Here is a 15,436-nt window from a genome sequence, read left to right on the forward strand (position 1 = left end):
GGCTGTGCCCACGGTGGGGTGGGGGCAGGGCGGACGGCATGGAGCATCTCCGCTTGGTCTCCCTCCCCATGTCCTACCTGCGAACGGGTGGGGGTTGGCCAGGTTGTGGCCTGACAGGTCAACAAAGGAGCGGTGTTCCGGGTGCACGAACTGTGGCTGGGCAGCCATGTGGTTGGCGTGTTCCATGGGGTTGGCCGTGTGGATTACATTCACCTATAGCAGAGAAAGAGAGGATCGCTGGAGACAGGCATCCTGAGCCTGTCCAAGAGGTGACAGTGGAGTCCCGCAGCTGGCATGACCAGTGCCACTCAGAGTGGCTCCTGGACCGCAGCTGGGGGCAAACGGAGCTACGGGAAAAGGACAGAAAAAAAAATCAAGAGTAAGCACTTAAAAAACAAAAACAAAGAAAAAGAAACAAAAACCAAACAAAAAAGAGTAATAAGCACTTAGAAACTGCTATAACAATCTAATATTCTCACACATTCCAGAAATGTATCACTTTTCTACTTATTAGTATTTGTTGAGACTGGGTCTTGCTGTGTTGCCCGGGCTGGAGCGCAGTAGCTATTCACAAGCATGATCACGGCTCACTGCAGCCTGGAACTTCCCTGCTCAAGTAATCCTCCCACCTCAGCCTCTCAAGTAGCTGGGACTACAGGCAAGCACCACGCACCTGGCTGCAATCCATTTTTATTGCATTTTATAAAAGATTATGCCCAAAACAAGAGCAGAAAAAGAAGCCGATGGTCCTTCCCCATGGGTCGTTTGGGAAGCACTGGCGTAGACCTTTTTCCTCAAATCACAGCCGTGTGAAAGACAGCACCAATCACTGCCATGGATTTCCTTTCATATCTCTTACCCTTTGACTCAAACAAAACAGGCACCGAATTTAGCATTCTGCTCTTGAGTTCATGGTGATATTCCATTGCTAAGAGTAACTTTGGGTCAATTTTCTCCAGGCCACAGAGAGCCTGAGCGATGAAGCAGCTGCTGGATAGGTCTGTAGACGACCTCAGAGCAGGAGGAGCTACCCTCTAGCCTGTGTGGCCTGTGAGTCACCAGCGCCAGCCTCAGCAGCACTGGTCCTGCCCGTGCGGGTCCCTGCGTGAGCCCCTCTCAACCTGGGCCGAGGACTCGACTTCATTCACAGGAGGGCCAGTGACCTGGCACAGATGCAGAGAACTTTTGGTTCCCTGGATGCTGCTCTTTCTAAAACAGTGTCTTTGGCTGGGCACAGTGGCTCACGCCTGTAATCCTAGCACTTTTGGAGGCCAAGGCAAGTGGATTGCTTGAACCTGGGGGGACAAGACCAGCCTGGGCAACATAGTGAGACCTCGTCTCTAAAAATAAATAAATAAATAAAACCACATCCTCCTGTTTCTCTCATGGGAAATCTCAAGAAGCCCCAGAGGCATTAACTGCCACTTGCTCTTTGTCACCTCCCTGCAAAGTTCCTTAGGCTCCAACTCAGGCTGAGGCAGCCAGGGAAAGGGGAGCACCCCCCACCCCAGCTCACCCCAAACACAACTTGTCACTCCAACAAGCCCAGGTGTAACCTGCAGCAGGCCCCAGGCTGGAAAGGCGACCCCCTAGAATGAGCCTGTATAGCTGCCATCATGAATGCTCTGAGGTTGGCGTTTGTGAATATTAGGGCTGCAAATCAGCGCCCTCACTCACTGCTGCTATTGGCCCTGCTCAGTGGGAGCCTTGTACTCACCTCCACCTTAAATTCGTTGCTGATGTAGCGGCCATTCAGCTCTGAGCAGATGAGCTTAAACTTCCGGTCAAGCAAGGACCTGGCATGCCAGTTCCGATAGCGCAGCAGGTGCAAAACCTCCTCGTAGCTGGCCATGGTGTCCACGCCTGCAGGGGTTGAAAGGGGGAAGATTGCCGGGTGGCTTAGGGCAGGAGCATGGGCAGGGCTGCAGCCGTCAGCACAGGCAGGCTCAATTAGACACCCAGGTTAGCTAGGCCAAGGGGTCACACAAGTTGGCTTTCTAGCCATGGGAATAAATGCAATGTGCACAGGGGCATTCTTCCCTCTGTGGGGGACGTGTCATCCCACGCCTCAACCCTCCCCCTTTAGAGAGTAGTGGCTACACATCCGGTACCTGTCCAGGAGACAGGAGTATGCGTGCAGCCAACAATGATCCCAGCGAACGTGCTCCTTCCCCATCTCCCTCTAAGATAACTCAACATTCTCAGATGGCAGGCAGCAGCCAGCCAAGAGCTCTCAAAGTCCCCTCTTGCAGCCTGGCCCACCTGCGTGGCTGCAGCGCTCCCCTTACCTGTGAAGGTCATGCCCAGTTCAGAGCTGCTCACTTCAATGCCCTTCTGCTGCAGGCGGGCCATGTCCACCTCCAGGCTCTCCTGCTCGTGGTTCAGCTCCTCTCCCTCCACCGTGACCTCACAGGTATCCAGGTCGTGCACGATCTCCTCGGACACCAGTGATTCTTGAACTGCAAAAGAGGCCCAACCAGAAATATTAAGTAGGGGCAGTGGGGCCCAGCGTGGCGGGGCACACTGGATGCCCTGCCGGCTCACCCCAAACCTACATGGCTCTCGTAAGGACCAACGACAGAAGCAAGCGAGAGTTGCTTTCAAGAAACGGCTGGGCGCAGTGGCTCACGCCTGTAATCCCAGCACTTTGGGAGGCCAAGACGGGTGGATCACCTGAGGTCAGGAGTTTGAGACCAGCCTGGCCAACAGGGTGAAAGCCCGTCTCTACTAAAAATACAAAAATTAACCGGGCGTTGTGGCAGGTCCCTGTAATCCCAGCTATTCGGGAGGCTGAGGCAGGAGAATCGCTTGAACTCAGGAGGTGGATGCTGCAGTTAGCCAAGATGACACCATTGCACTCCAGCCTGGGCGACAGAGTGAGACTCCATCTCAAAAAAAAAAAAAAAGGGGGGGAGTTTCATGTGTCCTGAGCAAGAATTGTGGGGACATTGTGCCTCCATGGGCTGGCCAGCCTGGCAGGTGCAAGCAGTGTCTCCCGTAAGTGCCCTCAACCCCTCAACCTCAAGCCACATCTCAAAGCCTGGCAGCAACCAGGAAAAGATGTAAGACCCCTCCAGATGGGATTCCAGAGATCACCATGAGCTCCAGCTCACGGGTCAGATTCCAGAAGCACACCCGAGAGAACACCAACGAAAGATTAAAACCTCCCCAAATCCCACAGAGACAAAGAGCCCCGCCAAGTACATGGGGACAATGGGGTTTCCGGCCGAGGCGAGGGAGCCCGCGCCCCACAGAGCACATTACCTGTGGGGTCCTCAGCCCCGTCCCCTTCAGGCTCCACTTCTCTCGTGATGGTGCTGATGATGCGAAGCTCAGGGAAAAGGAACACCCCTTCTGAGCTTTCAAATTCAGAAGCTGCTCGGGCAAAATGGTGGACGCCACTCAGGCTGATCTTGGGCTCCTCGGGCTGTAAAACCATCACGTAGCCATCTACCGGGGGGACCGAAATGCAGGTGGCCTCGTTAAAACACCTGCCAGCAAGAAATGGGGAAGGGTCAGGGCTTTGGGAGCCGATCTTGGAGCCCACCTGTGCAAAGGCACATGGAGGTGGGATACAGAGGCCCCCACTAACACCTGCCGGGGCCACTCCAGGAACACACTTGCAAACAAGATGCGTAAATATCACTCAGCTCTCTGCCCCACACTTTCTGGTTACACACGATGGCTCACCTTTCCTTACAGAAGGGGTTAGGCTGTCTTAAAAACCTAAATATACAAGTGTCATTGGGCAAAACAGGCCGGCTGTTAAAAATCAGGACGTACTTGATTGTGCTGGTGATTTTGAGTCTGCGAATTCCGGGCGTGGGGAACTGCCGGGAGTTCAGGTACGAGATGTGCTGCATGGCCTTATCCAATTCCCCGAGGTCTTCTCCCTCCAAGGTCAATACCAACTGGCTGGGGTGTGCTTGGATCTGAAATCACACCAGCCACAGAGAGGAGAAGAATAAGCCAGTAACCGCAGGAGCTGAAACCACAGATGCCTCCACAAAGGGGACTGGCCTGGGTTCGATTTGAATTGCTGACTTGAAAAAGAAAAGCTCGTTTAAGTCCAGTGAACACAACTCTTTTACCCAACAGTAAACGTATCAATCACAGATTACTCACTCCCTCATCCCACCAGCCTCCGGGGCTGTAGTCTAAGGGGCCCATGAGTGGTGTGCAGTCGAGCGCTCGGTGTTACCTGCACGCCTCTGCCACTGTCTTCGAGGACCTGCAGGTCCAGCCCCTCCTTGCAGGTATACAGACAGTCGATCACCTTCTTATCCGCGAGTTTCCCGGAACGGAGAGTTAAGCCAGCCAGATTGCCTCGGAAAAACTGGGTCATGTGCAGGTCGCCACCTTTGGGTCAGGGGAGAAAAGGCGAAGTCAGGCGTGCAACCCAGCATCGCCCAACTCACTTCTCACTCAACACGGTGTTACCGGTGCTGGCAGCTCAGTGGATGGACATGCGGGTTAGTTCATACCAAGTCCTGTTAGCCTTGCAATCTACATGGAAGCGCAATGAAGAAATTAAACCGTTTATGATCATGCACATGGCCTGGAGAAAGGGAGAGTTGGGGGTGTCTCACCTGAAGCCAAGAGGTCCCCTGAGGGTCCCCACACCTCTGGCCACTACCTGGTAAGGTGGCCTACCCTGTTCTCATCACCAGGGTGCATGGTGACACTTCCTACGCCACCAGCCTCTCCAGCCACTGCCTTCTCAGCTGGCTGGGTTCCACATGGCTGTTTTCTCTACCTGGCACGCCCTGGGGAATGAACCCACACAAGCGAGGCAGGGAGGATAAAAGGGAGGCTTAAAATACTCCCTGCATGGAACGGCCTATTTCAAGGATGCTATGGTGTTAAGTCCCATCCTTCCTGCCTCCTCCTGAGGATTGCTGAGAAGTGCAGATGTTACAACGAAAACCAAAACCCAGAAAATGGCCCTTGACAGATGACAACAAAGAGCCAGAAACAGGTTACACTAAACCTTGTTCTTAAACTGAAAAGGAAAAGGGACAAATTTTCAGCAATGTGTCTCATTCTGGTACAGAAATCAGGCACTGTAAATCATGACTAGGAATTGAGGTTTCTAAGAAACGGCTATTTGCCAGGCATGGTGGCTCACGCCTGTAATCCCAGCGCTTCAGGAGGCCGAGGCGGGTGGATCACCTGAGGTCAGAGTTTGAGACCAGCCTGGCGAACATGGCGAAACCCCGTCTCTACTAAAAATATAAATATTAGCTGGGCATGGTGGTGCATGCCTGTAGTCCCAGCTACTTGGGAGGCTGAAGCAGGAGAATTGCTTGCACCCAGGAGGTGGAGGTTGCAGTGAGCCAAGACCGCGCCACTGCACTCCAGCCCAGACAACAGAGCGGGACTCCATCTCAAAACAAAAAAAAAAGAGAGACGTCTATTTAAAATTTACTGTCAATCAGGACAGAATATCTAGAAACAAGTCTTTTCCTGTCTCGTGGTTCATCCACATGACAGTCACGAGGCGGCCTCCCAAACCCTGCCTGTAAGACTGAAAAAGCAGGGAGCCTCATGCAGTGGGGTCAGGGTCAAACTGGATGGGGGGGGAAGTCCCATGCATGCACTGCCTGAGATGTCATTTGTCCTCACTCCAGCTGGGGTCAGAATGGGCAGAATAAGGGAACTCCATGAAGCAATGGGGAAGCGCAATGCAGGGAAGCAGCTCAGATGGTGTCCAGGACCAAAATGCAACTGGGGCGTTTCATGCGACACGTGGAATGAATCAGTCTCATCTTTAAATGAAACACAATAGTGAATGTAGGGAAAAAATCCAGCAACCTGCAGAGGCCACAGTCACAGGCTCAGTTTCATTGTCATTTTCAACTCCTGAAAACTCTGTGGAAAAGCAAGACAAAGACAATAGAAAAGGACTGAGAGGTTAGGGTCTTCAAACCGGACCTTGAAAACCAGGTTTGAAGCAACCAACTATAAAACATGAAGAGAAAATTCCCTCGTGATCCCGCTCTGGGATGTACCCATCTGGACGCAAGCTTGTATTTAATCACCTTTTCCCAGAAGTGACTTTACCACCCCCAACCCCAGGCTTCTTTTGTTCCACCTTCCCACATCCTCCTTGCCAAAACATATGTTAGATTCAAAATAAGATGAATGAAAGCACACACATGGAATTCGTTCCCCTCCCCAATCCGTGCTATGAAGTAGGACACTCCACAGAGGCTGAGCCTGGGCTGCAATGCTGCTCCCGATATAAACACCACCAAGTTCCGGACCAACAGCACCTCTTCTCCTAATAGGGAAGACACTGCGCAGACAAAAAGGCATAGCACACACGTGTCCCAAGCCTGGTACACAGTAAGCATGCGGAAGTCTGTATATTTTGGAAGCTCCAAACAAGTTTACATCTGTCTAGCCATTAACCTTTGGGCGACAGAGGAAAGAAGACATTCTCAATCACTTTTTCTGAATGAGAGGGAGATGCAGAGGCTAAGGAACCCACCTAGGGAAGCATAGCCTACGGTGGACCTGGGGACCCTCACCACCTTCAGCTCCTCTAGCTCCTGGATCCAGTGTACAGAGTAATACAACCTACCAGAAAGGCACACACACAGCGGCTAAGCACAGAACCAACACTCTCCAGGTCATGCTGAGGGGAAAGGCCACTCCTCAAGCCCTGCAGCCCTGCAGCCCTCCCCTCTATGGTGTGCTAGGGCCCCTTTTGGGCTGCGGCTGTGCGGGGCTGCATCAAGGGGCAAGGCTAGAGGTGTATCCAGGTGAAGCCCATGTGAGCCACGGGCCTGTGCTACCTCCACACACACCAAGACTCCCCCACAACACGCTGGTAGAAGGGAATGAAGCTGCTGCCCACAGCCCAAGCTCTCCACGGCCAACGTGTAGCAAAAGTGGCAGAATCAACCACAAAAAAGAAAAGGAGATCCTCTCTCCTGTTAACTGAATTTTAAACAATCTGTGGGGTTTTTTTGTTTGTTTGTTTTGAGATAGAGTCTCACTCTGTTGCCCAGGCTGGAGTGCAGTGGTGTGATCTTGGCTCACTGCAACCTCAGCCTCCTGGGTTCAAGTGATTCTCCTGCCTCCCAAGTAACTGGGATTACAGGCGCACGCCACCACGCCTGGCTAATTTTTGTATTTTTAGTAGAGGCAGAGTTTCACCATGTTGGCCAGGCTGGTCTCGAAATTCTCCTGACCTTGAGTGATCTGCCTGCCACCGCCTCCCAAAGTGCTGGGATTACAGGTGTGAGCCACTGCGCACGGTCATCTTTCATAAATTTCTAACCTTACTCAAGGTACAATGTTTCCATAGGGAGAAAAAACTAATCAAAAAGTAATTAATGATGATGATACCTTGAAATGACACAGCAGAGTCCAGTGCAAGGGTCAAGGTGGGAATCATGAACCTCTGGGGTAACCTGAGGGTTCCATGAACTTGGATGGGAAAAATTACATGCTTATTTCCACTAACTTCTGAAATTCAGCATTTCCTTTGGCAATAAATGTAGGCTACACACCACAGCAGTTAGCAATGACTGCAACTTTGTCACCAATAGAATGCACTGATATTTGCACACCAGGCCACAGCTGTTGCAGATGCCACAGGGATCCTCGCACAGCCCTCACAACTTGGAACTTACACCACTGTTGGACCTGCTGCTAAAGCTGGTTCTTCATTTGTTAACATAAAGTACCACTGGTGTTACTGTTTCACAAATGTAGTATTTCAGGATGTTAATAACTATATTTCAGTTTAACTGATTACCCTTGAATCCTATGTATTTATTTTGTAGATTAATAAGAAGGGATCCATTGGCCTTGCCAGACCACCCAAGGGCTCCATGGCACAAAAAAGGGCTTAAAACCCCAGGTCTGAGCCAGGCGCAGTGGCTCATGCCTGTAATCCCAGTACTTTAGGAGGCTGAGGTGGGAGGATCTCTTGAGCCCAGGAGTTTGAGATCAGCCTGGGCAACACAGTGAGACCCCATTTTTATAAAAAATTAAAATAATAACAATAATAAAAACCTTGATCTGGTGGGTCTGAGTGTGGGCCCAGAATACACAGGTTTTTCTTTTTCTTTTGAGACAGGGTCTCACTCTGTTGCTCGGGCTGGAGTGCAATAGGGCATTTTTTTTTTTTTTTTTTTTGAGACGGAGTTTCGCTCTGTCACCTAGGCTGGAGTGCAGTGGTGCTATCTCGGCTCACTGCAAGCTCCGCCTCCTGGGTTCACGCCATTCTCCTGCCTCAGCCTCCCGAGTAGCTGGGACCACAGGCACCCGCCACCATGCCTGGCTAATTTTTTGTATTTTTAGTAGAGATGGGATTTCACTGTGTTAGCCAGGATGGTCTTGATCTCCTGACCTCATGATCCACCCACCTCAGCCTCCCAAAGTGCTGGGATTACAGGCGTGAGCCACCGCGCCCGGCCAATAGGGCATTCTTGGCTCATGCAGCCTCTGCCTCCTGGGTTCAACCGATTCTCCTGCCTGAGCCTCTCGAGTAGCTGGGATCACAGGCACATGCCAACATGCATGGCTAATTTTTGTATATTTAGTAGAGATGGGGTTTCACCACGTTGGCCAGGCTGGTCTCGAACTCCTGACCTCAAGTGATCTGCCCGCCTCAGCCTCCCAAAGTGCTGGGATTATAGGTGTGAGACACCGCGCCTGGCCCACAGGCTTCTCAAAGTAAAAAAATTCAAAACCCTGGCTCCTGATTCATCAGCTGGGTGACACCTGGCTTGCTGCTTCTGTGGGCCTGAGTTTCTTCAGCTATAAAAAAGGGATTCTAAGGTTTAGGTGAGACAACGTGTATAAAGGAGTTGGCACACAGCCTGCCACTTGGTAAGTACAGGTAAGAAGCACTGGTGCTCTGGTGGTTATCATATCCCCTCTCAGCAGAGACTTCCATGGAATCCTCCCCACACGTGGCCCTTGCTGAGGGTGAACAGAGCCCTCGCAGCCCTCCTACCAGGTCACCAAGTGATAAACACTCTGGAAGAGTCCTCCAGGTCCAAGGCGCACTTCTACTTCTGCGTCCTTTATTTCTGTGCCTGACTCTTGCTGTTGCCTCTTTGTCCTTGTGAACCTTTCAATAAACGGATTAATTTATAAAACAGTTCCCCCCACTACACGCTCCCTCTGTGGAACGCTCCCTCTTGGGTTTCCGGGAAAGGTGACGGTGTGGTCAGTCCTATCACCTTTATGGAGCACCTACAGACAGAGCTATGCTAGCTAGAGTGGGGTAACGGCAGTGTCCCCAAAAAGGCTGTACACAGGAAATGGAAGGAAAAGATCCAGGACACGAGGGTAAGGCTGTAGGATACCGATCACAGCCTGCTGCCACCAACCTAGTAAAGAGGTACAACTTAATTCTCGAGTCGAGGGCGGGGGGTAATGACAGGTACCTTGCCAGCAAGCCCCCACCACGAGCTGAGTTTCTATCTTGGATGGATGGAGCGGGTAATCCTCAGTCACAGAGAAGGGCTCGTGGGACGTGCCATCCACATAGAGAGTCACACTCGGGAATTCTACATTGAGGACGTAGTGGTGCCATTCCTCATCACAGACCTACAGAGGCAAAGGGAAGCGGGGAGGTGTGAGATGTCCACTTTCCTTCTCATCAATGCCCATGGAAACCAAGTCACCCAACACAAGGGTCTTCCTAGGAGGAAAAGGATGAAAAAAATCTAACCACAAAATATCTGCAAATACATCTCACCAAAAGAAGCCAAGCATCTCTAGGGCATTTCCAAACTACGGGGGCTGCATTGCTCACTAACCAGAGGACACAGCCCAAGTAGGGAGCTGCCCAATTCTGCTCTGCCAACAGTGTGGCACCAGGAAGTTCCTGTATGGGCAAGCTGGATACCCACCCTCGAAAGGGTTGAGTTAGTTTACCACTGGCCATTCCTTTTCTGAATAAAAATAAAAAGTGCCTTTAGGCCGGGCGCAGTGGCTCAGGCCTGTAATCCCAGCACTTTGGGAGGCCAAGGCGAGGAGATCACTTGAGGTCAAGAGTTTGAGACCAGCCTGGCCAACATATCGAAACCCCATCTCTACTGAAAATACAAAAATTAGCCGGGTGTGGTGGTGCACGCCTGTAGTCCCAGCTACTTGGGAGGCTGAGGCACAAGAATTGCTTGAACCCGGGAGGCAAAGGTTGCGGTGAGCCGAGATTGTGCCACTGCACTCCAGCCTGGGTGACAGAGCAAGACTCTATCTCCTCCCCACCGCCGACAAAAAAGTGCCTTTAATCTCAGAATAAGGCACACCATAGTACATGTATTTTCTTTTCCAACTCAAAGTTGATGATCTCAATAAATATGAACATCAGCTCCAAGGGCACCCCAAACCAAACTGTGTTCCCATCCTGTGATGAACGAGTGTGTGAACACGCATCAGCCAGCTGCAATGGGCCCTTATCTGGGTCGTAACTCAAACAAATTGTAAACACAAAAACATTTATGAGGCTACTTGAAATCTGAACATTGACTGGCTATTTGATCGTATTAGAAATTTTACTGTTAGGTTTTTTTTTAATGTGAAAGAGTGCTGTGATTATGCTTGTCTATGAGATACATCATGACATACAGGCGGGCGTCTACAAGAATGAAATGCTCTATTTGGGATTTCTTGAAAATTATTAACTAACGTTTGAGGGGGTGATAAAAATTTTCAGCAGTGAATAGGGGTAACAATGAAACTAGACTGACCAAGAGTTGGCAACTGTTGAAGGCATAAGGGCACACAGGGCTATTCTTTAATCTGTCTGCTTTTATATAAATCTGAAATTTTCCATAATACAGTTTTTAAACAGTATATACTTAGAAGAAACTAAATATATAAATGCAGACTATGGCTACTATAACAGAACTGTAGCTAAAATGTCCACCTATGTTGCAAAATATTTTTCCAGGACTAAGCCTTTCTTTAGTTTTTTGAAAATAATTAATGGTAATAGTTTCTGAGAAATAATCACTCACATAAATAAAAAAATACACCAATAAGAGATGAATGCTACCCAGCCTGACCAAAATGGTGGAACCCCATCTCTACTAAAAATACAAAAATTAGCCGGGCGTGGTGGCGCACGCCTGTAATCCCAGCTACTCAGAAGGCTGAGGCAGGAGGATCGCTTGAACCCGGGAGGTGGAGGTTGCAGTGAGCCAAGATCTCCACTGCACTCCAGCCTGGGCAACAAAGCGAGACTCAGTCTCGGGGGAAAAAAAAAAGAGACAAATGCTACCAACTGGACACCCACTTCAACTTTCCACTATCATATACTTTTTCCTTTCTCATTTATTCTCTTTTACTTTTATCTATCCTATGATTATTTTTAGACACTATTATATTTTAGCAACTGCAGGCACATATAACATATGTCAGCTTTTGTCCACTAACTCCATGAGACAAATAAAATGATGATAAGGCCAAAGGTTTCCTTCTCATCCCAACTCTACATCAAAAGAAAAAATGATCTATTCTGATTTTAATAGAGGGTTCTAATTTTACAGTGCTCTCTCGTTTCCTGTAGCACGTGGGGTTTTTCACAGGATATTTGCTTTCTATCACAGCAACTGCTAGAAAATTAGCTTTGCGGCCGGGCACAGTGGCTCAGGCCTGCAATCCCAGCACTTTGGGCGGCTGAGGTGGGTGCATCAGTTGAAGTCAGGAGTTCAAGACTAGCCTGGCTAATATGGTGAAACCTCATCTCTACTAGAAATACAAAAATTAGCTGGGTGTGGTGGCATGTGTCTGTAGTCCCAGCTACTCATAAAATTATAAATATACACTGACTATACACAGCCATCCATGTGCAAGGTTGCAGTACCTGCTTACTCTCTCTTAGAAGATGACAGTGTTTTTCTTTTTCTTTGGAGACGGGGTCTCACTCTGTCATCCAGGCTGGAGTGAAGTGGCACAATCGCAGCTCATTACAGCCTTGACCTCCTGGGCTCCATCAATCATCCCACCTCAGCTCCCCAAGTAGCCAGGACTACAGGCATGTGCCACCATGCCCAGCTAATTTTCGTGGGTTTTTTTTTTTTTGTAGGGACAGGATCTTAGTAATGTTGCCCAGGCTGGTCTCGAACCCCTGGGCTCAAGCAATCCTCGTGCCCCAGCCTCCCAAAGTGCTGGGATTATAGGTGTGAGCACCTTGCCCGGCCCTATTAGTGCGTTTTCAATTCACTCACCTGATTCAACTTCCAGTGGAACTCTGCAGGTCTGTATTTCTTCTCCTCAGAAGGATCCTGACGGAAGAGGAAGATCAGCCGGCACCCGTGGACATAGAGGGAGTAGTGGTGCCGATTCATATCTGCAAAGGCAGTTTCTATGGGTAAATTGCCAACTAAAGATCCAAAGGAGAAATTAAAGCTGTTTCTTGAATGGATTTTGAAGACACAATTTCATCTGCATAAATGAACTCTTCGGCTAAGCCAAGGCAGGGCTTAGAAACAAATACACTTGGGCTTTCCTGAGAGGCGGAGCCTGTGATCACCGTGGACCCCACTGAGCAACAACAGCTAATACCCAAATGCCCAGGCCGTGGCTCTAGGGAACCAAGTGCCCCAGGCACACAGCATGGCACATGGCCTACGAGCACCAGGCTGGCAGGGGACCCTGGGAAAGGAGAGGGAGCCTGCCGCTGGCACCCACCCTACTGGACACTGGGGCCTGGCATCGCTTGCAGAGCTATTACCCTACCTGTTTTATCAGAACTGCAAAGAATTGTCTCCTTCTTCCTGCCGAATGGCCCATGTCTCATCCACACCGAGATGGTGAACGGCTCTTTGGGGCTGACCGACACGACGCCATCCGGGATCCTCACTGCCTGGGTGCCGTTGAACTCAAACACCTGGTCGCTGTCGTGGCCATTGTCGGTGGGCAGGCCCATGGTCCAGTTGAGGGATCCACTCGGGGATGGCAGCAGCTCGGCAGTGCCCGCGGCCGCACCTGAAGCCACAGTGCTCGGTGAAACTCATGTGAGGAGCCAGAGGTCCCGCGCACCTCAAGCCCCCAGGCACGTGCTTGTCTTACACTTAGGCAATCTGCTGGCTCCAGTTTACTTTTTTTTTTTCTTTCGAGACAGAGTCTTGCTTTGTCCCCAGGCTGGAGTACAGTGGCGCGATCTCGGTTCATTGCAACCTCCACCTCCCGGGTTCAAGCTGTTCTCCTGCCTCAGCCTCCCGAGTAGCTGGGATTACAGGCGCGCCCCATTAAAACTGGCTAATTTTTGCATTTTCAGGAGAGCCGGAGTTTCACCATGTTGGCCAGGCTGGCCTGGAACTCCTGACCTCGTGATCCGCCTGACTCGGCCTCCAAAAGTGCTGGGATTACAGGCGTGAGCCACCACGCTTGGCCCTTTCAGTTTACTTCTCTTCAAAAATCAGGGTTTTAAATTACAAAAATAAAAATAACAACCATGGATTTGTTTAAGGAAGGGAAAGGGCCAGGCGTGAACCCGGGAAGCGGAGCTTGCAGTGAGCCGAGATCGCACCCCTGCACTCCAGCCTGGGCAACAGAGCGAGACTCCGTCTCAAAAAAAAAAAAAAAAAACAAAAAGGAAGGGAAAGGAAGCATTTCTTGTAATCTGATTCAAATTATACCATTTTAGTATAAACACCCAGTCCTCCTTTGGTAAATATACACAAAAATGATGCGTTTTCTTAGAAAAATGGAGTCCTGGCAGGGCTTGGTGGCTCACACCTGTAATCCCAGCACTTTGGGAGGCCAAGGCACACAGATTGCTTGAGCCCAGGAGTTGGAGACCAGCCTGGACAACATGGCAAAACCCTGTCAATACAAAAAACACAAAAATTAGCCAGGTGTGGTGGTGCATCCCTGTAGTCCCAGCTACTTGGGAGGCTGAGATGGGAGGATCACTTGAGCCCAGGAGGTTGAGGCTGCAGTGAGCTGTGACTGTGCCACTATACTCCAGCCTGGGCGAGTGCGACCCTGTCTCAAAAATATATAAACAAATACAATAAAAGTGGAGTCCTGCTATGTATGTGCATAATACATATATATTCCTAGCAATATTCTTCTATCATGTAATTTAAACTATCTGAATAGTTGTTTTTTTTTTTTTTTTTTTTTTGAGACAGGGTCTCCTCTCTCGCCCAGGCTGCAGTGCAGTGGTGCAGCGTTGGTTTACCGCAGCCTTGACCTCCTGAGCTCAAGCAATCCTCCCACCTCAGCCTCCCAAGTAGCTGGGACCACAGGTGTGTGCCACCATGCCCGGCTAATTTTTGTGTTTTTGTAGAGACGGGGTTTCGCCATGTTGTCCAAGCTAGTCTCCAACTACTGGGCTCAAGCGATCCATCTGCCTCAGACTCCCAAAGTGCTGGGATTATAGGTGTGAGCCACCGCGCTCGGCCTGAATAGCATTTCATTGTACAGATACAGCATCACCTACTGACCAGCCTCCCAGGTGGGCACAGAGGCTGTCCCTAACCTTTTCCTATTATAAACCTCACCTGCATGCACAGCTTTATGTGTCTCCATGATTATTCCCTTAAAATAAATTCCTAGAAATGAAATTACTAAGTCAAAAAACATAAAAAATGTTTTCCAACCATTCTTATGTATTGCCATGTTCAAATTAAAAAAATTTTTTTTTGTCCACAGGAAAAGATTTTGCAAGCTCCTTCTTGACTAAGCTATTACTCGGAGCAGCAGGCCTTGGCTGGACCAGCCTGGCCTCTTGAGTAACAGAAGACCTTGGTCCAAATCTTAGCTCCTGAAGCTAGACGTGGTGGCTTGCGCCTGTAATCCCAGAACTTTGAGAGGCTGAGGCAGGCAGATCAACTGAGGTCAAGAGTTCAAACCAGCCTGGCCAATATGGTGAAACTCTGTCTCTACAAAAATACAAAAATGAGCCAGGCATGATGGCAGATGCCTGTAATCTCAGCTACTTGGGAGGCTGAGGTGGGAGAATCACTTAAACACAGGAAGTGGAGGCTGCAGTGAGCCAAGATAGCACGATTGCATTCCAGCCTGGGCGACAGTGAGACTCTGTCTCAAAAGAAAAAAAAAAACCACACACACACACTAGAACCTCAGCTCCTGAATATGTGGGCTTGGGCAAGCTACTTAACCTGCTTTAGTCTCAATTGTTTAATTCCTCTGTAACAAGGTCAATACCCACCTACTTCGTAGACTTGTTGGGAACATTAAGCTAAAACACACATAGAAGTACCTGGAGTAAGGCCAGGCGCAGTGGCTCATGCATATAATCCCAGCACTTTGGGAGGCCGAGGTGGGTGGATCACTTGAGGTCAGGAGTTGGAGACGAGCCTCGCCAACATGGTGAAATCCCATCTCTACTAAACATACAAAAAGTAGCCAGGCATCATGGCACATGCCTGTAATCCCAGCTACTTGGGAGGCCGAGGCAGGAGAATCGCTTGAACCCAGGAGGCAGACGTTG

The 15,436-nt window shown here is 49.9% G+C and overlaps 1 protein-coding gene across 4 annotated transcripts in view; it reads right to left on the reverse strand.

Moving 5' to 3' along the window:
* The window catches only part of CLSTN1 (calsyntenin 1), a 95,601-nt gene that overhangs the window by 2,758 nt on the left and 77,407 nt on the right, over window positions 1-15,436 (reverse strand). For 2 of the 4 annotated variants that reach the window (NM_001009566.3, NM_014944.4), the window contains 10 exons: window positions 12,712-12,960; window positions 12,201-12,322; window positions 9,411-9,573; window positions 5,815-5,871; window positions 4,202-4,359; window positions 3,784-3,932; window positions 3,265-3,491; window positions 2,289-2,459; window positions 1,718-1,863; window positions 78-213 (listed from right to left, as the gene is read on the reverse strand). In NM_001009566.3, the coding sequence (NP_001009566.1) occupies window positions 78-213; window positions 1,718-1,863; window positions 2,289-2,459; window positions 3,265-3,491; window positions 3,784-3,932; window positions 4,202-4,359; window positions 5,815-5,871; window positions 9,411-9,573; window positions 12,201-12,322; window positions 12,712-12,960 (1,578 nt within the window). The remainder of the gene's footprint in view (window positions 1-77; window positions 214-1,717; window positions 1,864-2,288; window positions 2,460-3,264; window positions 3,492-3,783; window positions 3,933-4,201; window positions 4,360-5,814; window positions 5,872-9,410; window positions 9,574-12,200; window positions 12,323-12,711; window positions 12,961-15,436) is intronic. The other 2 variants (XM_047449470.1, NM_001302883.1) reach the window with 1 other exon arrangement.

This window comes from Homo sapiens, chromosome 1, assembly GCF_000001405.40.
Source record: "Homo sapiens chromosome 1, GRCh38.p14 Primary Assembly".
Classification (NCBI taxonomy): Eukaryota; Metazoa; Chordata; class Mammalia; order Primates; family Hominidae; genus Homo; species Homo sapiens.